Raw genomic sequence first — 15,101 nt, 5'->3', positions numbered from 1 at the left:
AAATGGCCCAATGTCTTTTTGGAACCATAGAAAGACGTGTATGAAAGTAAACAAGAGGAGCATCAGCAAAGAGCAAAGCTCTATTTAGCAACTTTCTTCATCCAAAAGCATCAAACCTCATTCCCTGAGAAACGGATATAGCAACATCAACATGATGGAGAATCTTATCAGATCCTGAAATTGACCCTCCACCACCTAACTCCTCTGTGCCATCACCTGCCACAACCAATGACAAACCACTACAGCTTTAACCCCCTTCCTTATGTCTCTTCTCAACTTTCTTCTACCTTAAATTTCTACTTCATTTAGTAAATATAAGCCACCTTGTTTTGCTTGTACATTTTGTCTACAGTTTTTCAAGCGATTTATTTTGCATCTTATTTGTTTAGCTATATTAGAAGTGTAATTTTTGGTCCAGTGTACAAGATGTACATGCTATTACATAGAAAGTCACTGTTAACTATATTAATTGTTTTGTGATTTGGGTTTTAAGTTACATTTTAACTTTTAAAAAGAAAATCTTATCCATTGGTGAGGGGCCAAGATGGCTGAATAGGAAATGCTCTGGTCTGCACCTACCAGCAAGACCAATGCAGAAGGCAGGTTATTTCTGCATAAATTGAGGTACCCAGTTTATCTCACTGGGACTGGTTAGGCAGTGGGTACAACCTATGGAGAGTGAGTAGAAGCAAGGTGTGGCGTTGCTTCACCTAGGAAGTGCATGGAGCTGGGGGACCTCCCTCCTTGAGCCAAGAGAAGCGTGAGGGACTGTGCTACCCAGCCAGGTTACTACACTTTTCCCGCGGTTTTTGCAATCCACAGATCAGGAGATTCCCTCTTGTGCCAACACCACAAGGGCCCTAGGTTTCAAGCACAAAACGGCGTGGCTGTTTGGGCAGACACTAAGCTAGCTGCAGGAGTTTCTTCTTTTTGTACCCCAGTGGCACCTGGAACCCCAGTGAGACAGAACTGTTCACTCCCCTGGAAAGGGGGCTGAAGCCAGGGAGCCCAGTGGTCTTGCTCAGTGGGTCCCACTCCCACAGAGGCCAGCAAGCTAAGAACCACCGGCTTGAAATTCTCACTGCCAACACAGCAATCTGAAGTTGACCTGGGACCATCAAGCTTGGAGTGGGGGAAGGGGCGTCTGCCATTACTGAGGCTTTAGTAGGCGGTTTTCCCCTGACAGTGCTAAGGAGGCTGGGAGGTTTGGACTGAGCAGAATTCACCACAGGGCAGCAAAGAGGCTGTGGCCAGACTGTTTCTCTAGATTCCTCTTAACGGGGGAGGGCATCTCTGAAGGAAAGGCAGCAGCCCCAGTAAGGAGCTTACAGAAAAAATGTCCATCTCCTTGGGACACAGCACCTGGAGGAAAGGACTGCTGTGGGCACAGCTTCAGCAAATTTAATCTTTCCTGCCTGCCGGCACTGAAGAGAGCAGCTGATCCTGACAAGGAGGATTCTCCCAGCACAGTGCACCAGCTCTCCTAAGGGACAAACTGCCTCCTCAAGTGGGTCCCTGACCCCCATGCCCCCTGACTGGGAGAGACTTCCCAACAGGGGTTGACACATACCTCATACAGGACAGCTCTGGCTGGCATCAGGCCAGTGCCCCCCTGGGATGAAGATTCCAGAGGAAGGAGCAGGCAGCAATCTTTGCTGTTCTGCAGCCTCCACTGGTGATACCAGGTGTAACAGGGTCTGGAGTAGACCCCCAGCAAACTGCAGCAGACCTGAAGAAAAAGGTTCCTGGCTATTAGAAGAAAAACTAACAAACAGAAAGCAACAACATCAACATCAACAAAAAAGACACCCACACAAAAAACCCACCCAAAGATTATCATCCTCAAAAATCAAAGGTAGATAAATCCATGAAGATGAGGAAAAACCAGTGCAAAAATGCTGAAAATTCCAAAAACCAGGATGCCTCTTCTCCAAATGATCACAACTCCTGTCCAGCATGGGCACAAGACTGGAAGGAGAATGAGATTGATGAATTGACAGAAATAGGCTTCAGAAGGTGGGTAAAAACAAACTTGTCTGAGCTAAAGGAGCATGTTCTAACCCAATGCAAGGAAGCTAAGAGCCTTAATAAAAGGTTACAGGAACTGCTAACAAGAATAAGCAGTTTAGAGAAGAACATAAATGACCTGATGGAGCTGAAAAACACAGCATGAGAACTTCGTGAAGCATACACAAGTATCAATAGCTGAATGGATCAAGCAGAAGAGAGGATATCAGAGACTGAAGACTGCTTTACTGAAATAAGCTATGAAGGCAAGGTTAGAGAAAAAAAGAATGAAAAGGAACAAACAAAGCCTCCAAGAAATATGGGACTACGTGAGAATACCAAACGTATGATTTGATTGGTTTACCTGAAAGTGACGGAGAGAATGGAACCAAGTTGGAAAACACACTTCAGGATATTATCCAGGTGAAGTTCCCCAACCTAGCAAACAGGCCAACATTCAAATTCAGGAAATACAGAGAACACCACTAAGATAGTCCTTGAGAAGAGCAACCCAAGACACATAATCATCAGATTCTCCAAAGTTGAAACGAAGGAAAACATGTTAAAGGCACCCAGAAAGAAAGGTCAGGTTACCTACAAAGGGAAGACCATCAGACTAACAGCTGATCTCTCTGCAGAAACTCTACAAGCCAGAAGAGAGTGGGGGCCAATATTCAACATTACTAAAGAAAAGAATTTTCAACCCAGAATTTCATATCCAGCCAAACTAAACTTCATAAGCAAAGGAGAAATAAAATCCTTTACAGACAAGCAAATGCTGAGGGATTTTGTTACCACCAGGCCTGCCTTATTCTACCAGAGGTAGAAATTGGAGCTGGTACCATTCCTTCTGAAACTCTTCCAAACAATAGAAAAAGAGGGACTTCTCTCTAACTCATTTTATGAGGTCAGCATCATCCTGCTATCAAAACCTGGCAGAGATACACAAAAAAAATTTCAGGCCAATATCCCTGATGAACACTGATGTGAAAATCCTCAATAAAATACTGGCAAACTGAATCCAGCAGCATATAAAAAGCTTATCCACTATGATCAAGTCAGCTTCTTCCCTGGGATGCAAGGCTGGTTCAACATACACAAATCAATAAACGTAATCCATCACATAAACAGAACCAATGACAAAAACCACATGATTATCTCAATAGATGCAGAAAAGGCCTTTGATACAATTCAACATCCCTTCATGTTAAAAACTCTCAATAAACCAGGTATTGATGAAACACATCTCAAAATAATAAGATCTATTCGTGAAAAACCCATAGCCAATGTCATACTGAATGAGCAAAATCTGGAAGCATTCCTTTGAAAACCAGCACAAGACAAGGATGCCCTCTCTCACCACTCCTATTCAACATAGTATTGGAAGTTCTGGCCAGGGAAATCAGGCAAGAAAAATAAATAAAGGGTATTCAAATAGGAAGAGAGGAAGTCAAATTGTCTCTGTTTGCAGATGGCATGATTGTATATTTAGAAAACCCCAACCTTTCAGCCCCAAAACTCCTTAAGCTGATAAGTAACTTCAGCAAAGCCTCAGGATACAAAATCAATGTACAAAAATCACAAGCATTCTTATACACCAATAACAGACAAACAGAGAGCCTCGTAGCAGAACTGAAGGAGATAGAGACACAAAAAACCCTTCAAGAAATCATTGAATCCAGGAGCTGGTTTTTCGAAAAGATCAACAAAATTGATAGACCGCTAGCAAGACTAATAAAGAAGAAAAGAGAGAAGAATCAAATAGATGCAATAAAAAATGATAAAGGGGATATCACCACCAATCCCACAGAAATACAAACTACCATCAAAGAATACTATGAACACCTCTACGCAAATAAACTAGAAAATCTAGAAGAAATGGATAAATTCCTGGATACATACACCCTCCCAAGACTAAACCAGGAAGAAGTTTAATCTCTGAATAGACCAATAACAGGCTCTGAAATTGAGGCAATAATTAATAGCTTACCAACCAAAAAAAGTCCAGGACCAGACGGATTCACAGCCAAATTCTACCAGAGGTACAAGGCGGGGCTGGTACCATTCCTTCTGACACTATTCCAATCAATAGAAAAAGAGGGAATCTTCCCTAACTCATTTTGTGAGGCCAGCATCATCCTGATACCAAACCTCGCAGAGACACAACAAAAAAAGAGAATTTTAGGCCAATATCTCTAATGAACATTGATGCAAAAATCCTCAATAAAATACTGACAAACTGAATCCAGCAACACATCAAAAAGCTCATCCACCATGATCAAGTGGGCTTCATCCCTGGGATGCAAGGCTGATTCAACATACCCAAATCAGTAAATGTAATCCAGCATATAAACAGAACCAACGACAAAAACCACATGATTATCTCAATAGATGCAGAAAAGGCCTTTGACAAAATTCAACAACATTTCATGCTAAAAACTCTCAATAAATTAGGTATTGATGGGACGTATCTCAAAATGATAAGAGCTGTTTATGACAAACCCACAGCCAATATCATACTGAATGGGCAAAAACTGGAAGCATTCTCTTTGAAAACTGGCAAAAGACAGGGATGCCCTCTCTCACCACTCCTATTCAGCATAGTGTTGGAAGTTCTGGCCAGGGCCATCAGGCAGGAGAAGGAAATAAAGGGTATTCAATTAGGAAAAGAGGAAGTCAAATTGTCCCTGTTTGCAGATGACATGACTGTATATCTAGAAAATCCCACCATCTGAGCCCAAAATCTCCTTAAGCTGATAAGCAACTTCAGCAAAGTCTCAGGATACAAAATCAATGTGCAAAAATCACAAGCATTCTTATACATCAATAACAGACAAAAAGCGAGCCAAAACATGGGTGAACTCCCATTCACAATTGCTTCGAAGAGAATAAAGTACCTAGGAATCCAACTTACAAGGGATGTGAAGGACCTCTTCAAGAAGAACTACAAACCACTGCTCAACGAAATAAAAGAGGATACAAACAAATGGAAGAACATTCCATGCTCATGGATAGGAAGAATGAATATGATGAAAATGGCCATACTGCCAAAAGTAATTTATAGATTCAATGCCATCCCCATCAAGCTACCAATGACTTTCTTCACAGAATTGGAAAAAACTAGTTAAAGTTCATACGGAACCAAAAAAGAGCCCACATTGCCAAGTCAATCCTAAGCCAAAAGAGCAAAGCTGGAGGCATCACACTACCTGACTTCAAACTATACTACAAGGCTACAGTAACCAAAACAGCATGGTACTGGTACCAAAAGGGAGATATAGACCAATGGAACAGAACAGAGCCCTCAGAAATAACGCCACACTTCTACAACTACCTGATCTTTGACAAACCTGACAAAAACAAGAAATGAGGAAAAGGATTCCCTATTTAATAAATGGTGCTGGGAAAACTGGCTAGCCATATGTAGAAAGCTGAAACTGGACTCCTTCCTTACACCTTATACAAAAATTAATTCAAGATGGATTGAAGACTTAAATGTGAGACCTAAAACCATAAAAACCCTAGAAGAAAACCTAGGCAATACCATTCAGGACATAGGCATGGGCAAGGACTTCATGTCTAAAACACCAAAAGCAATGGCAACAAAAGCCAAAATTGACAAATGGGATCTAATTAAACTAAAGAGCTTCTGCACAGCAAAAGAAACTACCATCAGAGTGAACCTACAGAACCATCAGAGGCAACCTACAGAATGGAAGAAAATTTTTGCAATCTACTCATCTGACAAAGGGCTAATATCCAGAATCTACAAAGAACTCAAACAAATTTACAAGAAAAAAACAAACAACCCCATCAAAAAGTGGGTGAAGGATATGAATAGACACTTCTCAAAAGAAGACATTTATGCAGCCAAAAGACACATGAAAAAATGCTCATCATCACTGGCCATCAGAGAAATGCAAATCAAAACCACAATGAGATACCATCTCACACCAGTTAGAATGGCAATCATTACAAAGTCAGGAAACAACAGGTGCTGGAGAAGATGTGGAGAAATAGGAACACTTTTACACTGTTGGTGGGACTGTAAACTAGTTCAACCATTGTGGAAGTCAGTGTGGTGATTCCTCAGGGATCTAGAACTAGAAATACCATTTGACCCAGCCATGCCATTACTGGGTATATACCCAAAGGAATATAAATCATGCTGCTATAAAGACACATGCACACGTATGTTTATTGCGGCACTATTCACAATAGTAAAGACTTGCAACCAACCCAAATGTCCAACAATGATAGACTGGATTAAGAAAATATGGCACATATACACCATGGAATACTATGCAGCCATAAAAAATGATGAGTTCATGTCCTTTGTAGAGACATGGATGAAGCTGGAAACCATCATTCTGAGCAAACTGTCGCAAGGACAGAAAACCAAACACTGCATGTTCTCACTCATAGGTGGGAATTGAACAATGAGCACACTTGGACACAGGGTGGGGAACATCACACACTGGGGCCTGTCGTGGGGTGGTAGGAGGGGGGAGGGATAGCATTAGGAGAAATACCTAATGTAAATGACGAGTTAATGGGTGCAGGCACACCAACATGGCACATGTATACATATGTAACAAACCTGCACGTTGTGCACATGTACCCTAAAACTTAAAGTATAATAAAAAAAAAGTCATATCCTGCTATAAAAAATAAAGAAAAAGAAAATGTGGCACATATACACCATGGAATACTATGCAGCCATAAAAAATGATGAGTTCATGTCCTTTGTAGGGACATGGATGAAGCTGGAAACCATCATTCTCAGCAAACTATCGCAAGGACAAAAAACCAAACACCGCATGTTGTCACTCATAGGTAGGAACTGAACAATGAGAACACTTGGACACAGGAAGGGGAACATCACACACTGGAGTCTGTTGTGGGGTGGGGGAGTGGGGAGGGGTAGCATTAGGAGATATACCTAGTGTTAAATGACGAGTTAATGGGTGCAGCACACGAACATGGCACATGTGTACATATGTAACAAACCTGCACATTGTGCACATGTACTCTAGAACTGAAAGTATAATAAAAATATATATATTAAAAAAAAGAAAAGGAATGAGTTCACATCCTTTACAGGAACATGGATGAAACTAGAAGCCATCATTCTCAGCAAATTAACACAGCAACAGAAAACCAAACACCACATGTTCTCACTCATAAGTGGGAGTTGAACAGTGAGAACACATGGACACAGGGAGGGGAACATCTCACACTGGGGCCTGTCAGGGAGTGGGGGGCAAGGGGATGGAGAGCATTAGGACAAATACCGAATGCATGTGGGGCTTAAAACCTAGATGATGGGTTGATGAGTGCAGCAAACCACTATGGCACATGTATACCTATGTAACAAACCTGCAGGTTCTGCACATGTATCCCAGAACTTAAAGTAAAATTAAAGAAAGAAAGAGAGAGAGAGAGAAAGAAAGAAAGAAAGAAAGAGAGAGAGAGAAAGAAAGAAAATCCTATCCACAAAGCATGAGGAACATGACAATGCGGTAATCTTATCTTTCAACCCAGTGGAACCATTGCTGTGCCCCCTGGTGGACGCACTCTTCCTTTAAGCACTAAAACTAAATTATTGCTTCTCAAACTTTAGTGAACATCAGAATCGCCTGGAGAACTTGTTAAAACACAGATTTTTAAAACCCACTCCCAGAGTTTTTGATTCAGTAGGCCTGGGTTGTGGTCTGAGAACTTACATATTACACAAGCTCTCAGATAACACTGCGGCTGCTGGTCCACAGAAGACATTTTTTTAAACTTAAAAAAAATTATTGTAAATTGACAAATTATAGTTGTGCATATTTATGGGACACAAAGCGATGTTATGATATATGAATGCAACGTTGAATAATTAAATCAAGCTAATTAACATCCATCACCTCACATACTTGTGATTTTTGTGGTGAGAACATTTGAAATGTACTCTCAGCAGTTTTGAAATGTACAATACGCTATTATTAACTATATCCACTATGTTTTGTGCAATAAATCTAAAAAAATTTATTCCTCTTGTCTCACTGAGGCTTTGTGCCCTTTGACCATCATCTCCCCATTCCTCCATCCTCCAGTCTCTGGTAACCACCATTCTATTCTCTGCTTCTATGAGTTCGATCATCTTAGATTCCACATATAAATGAGAACATGCAGCATTTGTCTTTCTGTGCCTGGCTTATTTCAGTTAGCAAAATGTTCTCTAATTCCATCTATGTTGTTGCAAATGACAATTTCTTTCTTTTCAAAGGCTGAATAGTACCATTTTGTGCATATGTACACATTTTCTTTATCCATTCACCTGTTAATGGACACTTAGTTAGATTCCTTATCTTGGCTATTGTGAACAGTGCTGCAGCAAACATGCAAGTGCAGACATCTCTTTGACATGCTCCTTCCAAATCTTCTAGGTAAATACCCAAAAGTGGGATCAGTGGATCATATGGTAGTTCTATTTTTAGTTTCTTGAGGAACCTCCATACTGTTTTCCATAATGACTATAGTAATTTACATTCCCATCAATATTATACAAGTGTTCCCTGTTCTCCACATCCTTGCCAACAGTTATATTTTCACAGAATACGTTTTGATAATAAAACTATAAATTACTATTGGATGGATAGGAAGCAAGACATTTGAGAATAAGTAATTAGATGTATCATGTTCCACTTGTCTTCTGTCTTCTATTTCCAGCAATGAATTCTGTTCACTATTATGTCCTTCTACTCAGCATTACCTCTGACGAAGGCTCAATTCAAAGATAAGAAGCAAGGCAACATCATGAGATTCACTGGTTTTACCATATCTCTTGTTATCCCAAAGTAGTTGGCTTATAAAAAGGCGGAATGTTTATGGAAGACCCAACTATGGAGCAAACTTGGAGGGAACTCTTTGAAGATGGATTACAGGACTACAGGCTGCAGTATATGATTTGAACTGGTGACCAAAATATGATACTGTTACGCCTACACGTGGTGTGGAGTTACTAATTCAAAGGAAGGAAGGAAGAAAGGACAGAAGGGAGGGAGAAAGAGAAAGCCAAGGAGAAGAAAAAAAGAAAAAAATCACACAGAAACGAAAATTTAATCTAATTGGTAAGTGTAACTACTGGAGTGAGCCTTAGAGGAAAGACTTAAATCTGTTTCCTCAGTTGGTCTTGGATCTTGTAGGTCTCTCACAGCCTGAGTATTTCACCAAGTCAAATGTGACAATGTTTAAAGATATGTATTTTTTTATACAACATAGTCCTTAAATATTAATGAATTACTGTCAGATTGCTTTTCACAAGATTGTTAAGTTCCAAAGTGAGTAAGCAAATGGTAGTAATATCCAAATTTGCCATTGAAAATCTTTCAAATCATCCTGAAATCATCATGACCTCAGCTGTTAGAGGTGATAAAACAAGAATTAACTTCTTTGTTGAGGAGCTGTAGGCTCTGTTTTCTGGAGAGATGGACACGAAGGTCTATTTTGAAATAGAAAGCAAAATGGAATTCTCTTCCTCTCTCTTCCTCCAACTCTCTCTGTCTCCCCCTCTTACCCCACTCCCTCCGTCCTTCCTAGATGTGCAACAGATATGTATTTTTTGGATTGACAGATAAATAAGGAGATAGATAACAGTAATTTTTCCTTAATGGATTAGACATTTCTTGCTCATGCTTTTGAGTTTTCTTTAGCTGCCCATAAAGTCTCTGCTAGCAACACTATTCATGCACTTAGTGATTGCCTTATATATAGTCTTATATAATAAACTGGAGACTACAATGCACCACCTTCAGTAATGACTATAACATCTAGACAGAACATCATTAAGGAGATAGAGGACTTAAACGATACTATAAATCAACTAAACTTAACACCCACATATGGAACACTCCACCCAACAATAGCAGAGTACATATTATCCTCAAGAGCCCATGTAACATTCTAAAGATTAACTAAATGTTAGGCTACAAAACAAGTTGTGATACATTTTTTTAAATTAGAACAATACAAAATATTTTCTCTCACCACAATGGAAGAAAGCTAGAAATCAATAACAGAAAGAAAGTTGGAAAGTTCACTTTTAAATAATCAATGGGTTAAAGCAGAAATCACAAGGGAAAATAGTCATTACTTTGAGATGAATGATAATAAAAACACAGCATACCAAAACTTATGGGATGAACAAAAGCAATAGTTACTGCTATAAATAGCTGTGAATGCCTACATTAAAAAATAATCTTAAATCAATAGTTATCTTCGTGCACCAACACACCCGGCTAATTTTTGTAGTTTTAGTAGAGACGGGGTTTCACCATGTTGGCCAGAGTGTTCTCAAACTCTTGACCTCAGGTGATCCGCCTGAATTCCTTGAGGAATTCAAAAAAGAAAAGCAAACGAAACCTAAAGCTAGCAGAAGGAATAAAATAATAAAGATTAAAATAAAGATAAATGAAATAGGAAAATGATAGAATAAATGAAAGCAAAAGTTGATTCTTTGAAATAATTAAAAATTTGGCAAACATTTAGTGAGACTGAGAAAAAAAGAAAGAAGATGTAAATAGTTAAAATCAGAAATAAATGTGGAGACATTACTACCAACCTTACAGAAATAAAAAGGATTATAAGAGAACACTATGAACAATTGTATGCCATCAAATCAGATAACCAAGATGAAATAGACAAACTTCTGGAAACACATAACTTACCAAAACTAAGTCAAAAAAAAATAGAAAATCTGCCTGTAACAAGCAAAGAGATTCAGTAATCAAAAATCTCCCAACAAAGAAAAGTTCAGAACCAGATGGCTTAACTTATGAATTCTACAAAACATTTAAGGAAGAATAACACCAATCTTTTTCAAACTCCTCCAAAGAACACAGGAGAGAACACTTCCTATCAAATTCTATAAGGTCAGGATTATCCTGATACCAAACCCAAAGATACCACGAGGAAAGAAAACTACAAACCTAGATCTCTTATGAATATGATAAAAATCTTCAACAAAATACCGGCAAATTGGATCCTATAACATATTAAAAATATTTTACACCATGACCAGTGGAATTTATCCCAAGAATGTAGAAATGGTTCACCCTAAGAAAAGTGATCAATGTAACACATCACATTAATAGAATAAAGGGAAAGCCCCATATGATCATCTCATTTGACACAGAAAAAGCACTTAACAAAACCAACACCCTTTTATAATAAAAATACTCATAAAACTAGCAATATAAGAGAACTTCCTCAAAATGAAAAAGGACATCTATGAAAAACCTATAGCTATTATGATAGTCAGTGCTGAAAGACTGAAAGCTTTCCTCCTGAAATCATATATTAATACGATAATGCTCATTTTCATCATTGCTATTCAACAGTGTACTGGAAGCTCTAGCCAGAGCAATTAGGCAAGAAAAATGAATAAAGACATGCAGATTAGAAACAAAGAAGTAAAACTATCTCTATTCACAGCTGACATGATTCTATATGTAGAAAATCCCAATGAATCCGCAAAAAACCCTATTTGAACTAATTAACAAGTTTAGCAAAGTTGCAGAGTACAAGACCACAAACACACAGTTGTTTCTATATACGAGCAGTGATCAATCTGAAAAGGAAGTGGAGAAAACATTTTAATTCATAATAGCTTCCAAAAGAATAAAATATCTAGGAAGCCGGGCACAGTGGCTCAGGCCTGTAATTCTAGCACTTTGGGAGGCCGAGGCGGGCGGATCACAAGGTCAGGATTTCGAGACCAGCCTGGCCAGCATGGTGAAACCCCATCTCTACTAAAAATACAAAAATTAGCCAGGTGTGGTGGTGCATGCCTGTAGTCCCAGCTACTTGGGAGGCTGAGGCAGGACAATCACTTGAACCCAGGAAACAGAGGTTGCAGTGAGCCAAGATTGTATCATTGCCCTCCAGCCTGGGTGACAGAGTGAGACTCCGTTAAAAACAAACAAACAAACAAACAAAAAACTAGGAAAACATTTAAAAAGGGAAGAATTTTTAGACTAAAAACTATGAAATATTTTTGAGAGAAATTAAAGATCTAAAAAATGGAAAGACATTCATGTCCATGGATTGGAAGACTTACTATTGTGAAGGTGGCAATACTACTCAAAGATCTACAGATTCGGTGTAATCTCCATTAAAATTCCAACAGCCTATTTTGCAGAAATGAAAAACATGATGCTCAAATTCATATGGAATTGCAAGGACCCCCAAATAGCCAACATGATTTTAAAAAAGAACAAATTTGGAGGACTTACTCTTCCTGATTTCAGGACTTACTACAAAGTTACAGTAGTCAAAAATCGTGTGGTACTGGCATAAAGATACACCCATGAAATAGAACTGAGAAGAAATAAATCCATAAATATAAAGCCAATTGATTTTCGACAAGGGTGCCAACTCCATTCAATGGAGTTGAATGGAGTTGAATTATTAAAAATAAGTCCAATGCCATTACAATTAAGAAATTTGGTTCATCTAAAGTTACAAAGAAAATGAGAAGACAAAATACAAATTGGAAGGATATATTTGGAACATATTTCACTGACAAAGAGTAGTGTGACCAATGACCTCTGCATTGTTAAACACCGTAATCAATTCTTAGGTCTCCCTTGTCAGCAACATTTGACCCTGTTGGTTACTCCCTCTATAAAACAACTTCTCCTGTTTCCTAGACGCAGTCTCCTGATTTCCCTCCTCTTTCTCTGCACAAGCCTCCTCAGTCTCCTTTGGTGGTTTCTTCTCATGTGACTATAAAGCAGAGTGACCTAGAGCTCTGGTCTTGGACCTCTTCTGTTGTCTTATCTGCTTTCATTCCCTAAGTCATTTCATTCAGCTTCATGGCTTTCATACCATCTCTATGCTGATGAATTCCAATTGGATATCTCTAGCCCAGACAGCTGAACTCTAGGGTCATCCTACTGCCTGCTCCACATCTGCACTGGTATTTCTACAGGGTTCTCAATACATTTTTTAAAAATGAGCCCTAGGTATTGCCTTTGAAATCTGCTCCAGTCTCTCCATCTCCTTTCATGACAATCCCATCCTTCTAATTAATTTGGCAAAATCTTAACATTACCCTTGACTTCCTTCTTTATCTCATATTCCAAATGTGATCTATTTGCAGATCTTCTTATCCCTAACTTCAAAATATTCCCAGATTTAGACTGTTTCTCACCATTTCCACTGCCATCATCCGAGTCAGAGCCATCACCATCTCTCACGTGGATTATTGCAATACTCTTCACCTGCTCTCATTGCTTTTGCCCTGTCCAGTCACATGTCAGTCAAATGGCTTCTGTTAAAACCCCAATCATATCAATCCTCTGCTCAAAACCCTTTAATGGATCCCTATGTCACCTACAAGGTGAAAATCCTTACTTTGACTTACAAGCACCTACATGGTATGCTGTCATTTCTTCTCTGACTTCTTCCTATAAAACTTCCCCTTCCCTAATGCCCCTCCAGCAACTTTGAATTTTGTACTCTTTTGCCAACAAGCAAAACATTCTCCTTTCAGGTTTCTTAACTTGCCATTCTCCCTGCCTGGGAAGCTCTTCCTCCAGATGTCTGCATAGCTCATTTCATCAAGTCCTTTAGGTCTTTGCTCAAAATCACCTTGTCAACAAACCCCTCCCTGTCCAGCCTATACATAACTGCAAACCCTCCTCAACACAGAGATACATTCTCTCATTTCTTGCTTTCTTCTTTATATATCACTCTCTAACATACTATGTATTTTATTTATTTATATTCTTTCTCCCCCCTTATAAATCTCCATGAGGACAATGACTTTTGTATATTTTATTTACTGCTACATCCTCCGTACATAGAATAGTGCCTGACTTTGTTGAATGAATGAATAAATTAATATAATATTTAAAGGTCCTATACTCAAGTGTATGTGAGGGTATGGAGCATCGATTCGTTTATACACTACAGATGAGAGAGTAAATTTGTGCATCACTTTGGAAAACCATTTGGCATTGCTTAATAAAGTGGATTATTTACATGTCCAAAACCCAGTGATCCCTCTCCTATATATATCCCCTACAGAAAACCTTGCACATGTGTAATAGAAATCATGAGCAAGAATGTGCAATGATGTTAGAAAAAGAAAATGAAAACAGGGCATGGTGGTGTGCATCTGTAGTCCCAGCTATTCAAGAGGTTAAAATCGGGGGATGACTTAAGGCCAGGAGTTCAACAACTGTGAATAGCCACTGCACACTCCAGCCTGGGCAACACAGAAAGAACTTGTCTCTTTTTTTTTTTTTTTTTTTGACATGGAGTCTCCCTCTGTCACCAGGTTGGAGTGCAGTGGCGTGATCTTGGCTCACTGCAACCTCTGCCTCCCGGGTTCAAGTGATTCTCCTGCCTCAGCCTCCTGAGTAGCTGGGATTACAGGCACCTGCCACTGTGCCTGGCGAATTTTTGTATTTTTAGTAGAGATGGGGTTTCACCATGTTGGCCAGGATGGTCTCGATCTCTTGACCTCGTGATCCACCCGCCTCGGCCCTCCAAAGTGCTGGGATTACAGGTGTGAGGCACCACGCCCAGCCAACCTTGTCTCTAACAAAAGATTAAAAATAAAAATAAAGTAAAAAGCAAATTTAATGACTATTAATAGTAAAATGACAAAATCTGGAGTATTATAAAGCAAAAAAAATGAAACTACAGCTACAATCATCAATATGAATGAATACCATGATCATAAGGTGGAGTACAGTTTCAGAATAATATGTATAAAAATGGCTTAACTTATGTGAAGTCCATAAATATTTAAAAATTATGAATATATTGTTTAGATATATATATGTACACACACATACATAAACACACAAAAATTAATCATTGTGTACACACACAGACACACACACACATTATGTATATATATAATGAATCTATAAGGAAAGTCACCAGTAAAATTAACAGGTAATCCAGAGTAAAGGGAAGGAATGTGAGTCTTGGCAATCTCATGAGAGCATCAAAGGTGCTTCTTCAACAAATTGGGTGTAAAAAGAACATACTTCAACATGATAAAAGCTATATATGACAAATCCACAGCTAGCATC

This window comes from Homo sapiens, chromosome 3 (genome assembly GCF_000001405.40).
Source record: "Homo sapiens chromosome 3, GRCh38.p14 Primary Assembly".
NCBI classification, from domain to species: Eukaryota; Metazoa; Chordata; class Mammalia; order Primates; family Hominidae; genus Homo; species Homo sapiens.
Note: the sequence above shows the minus strand (reverse complement) of the source record.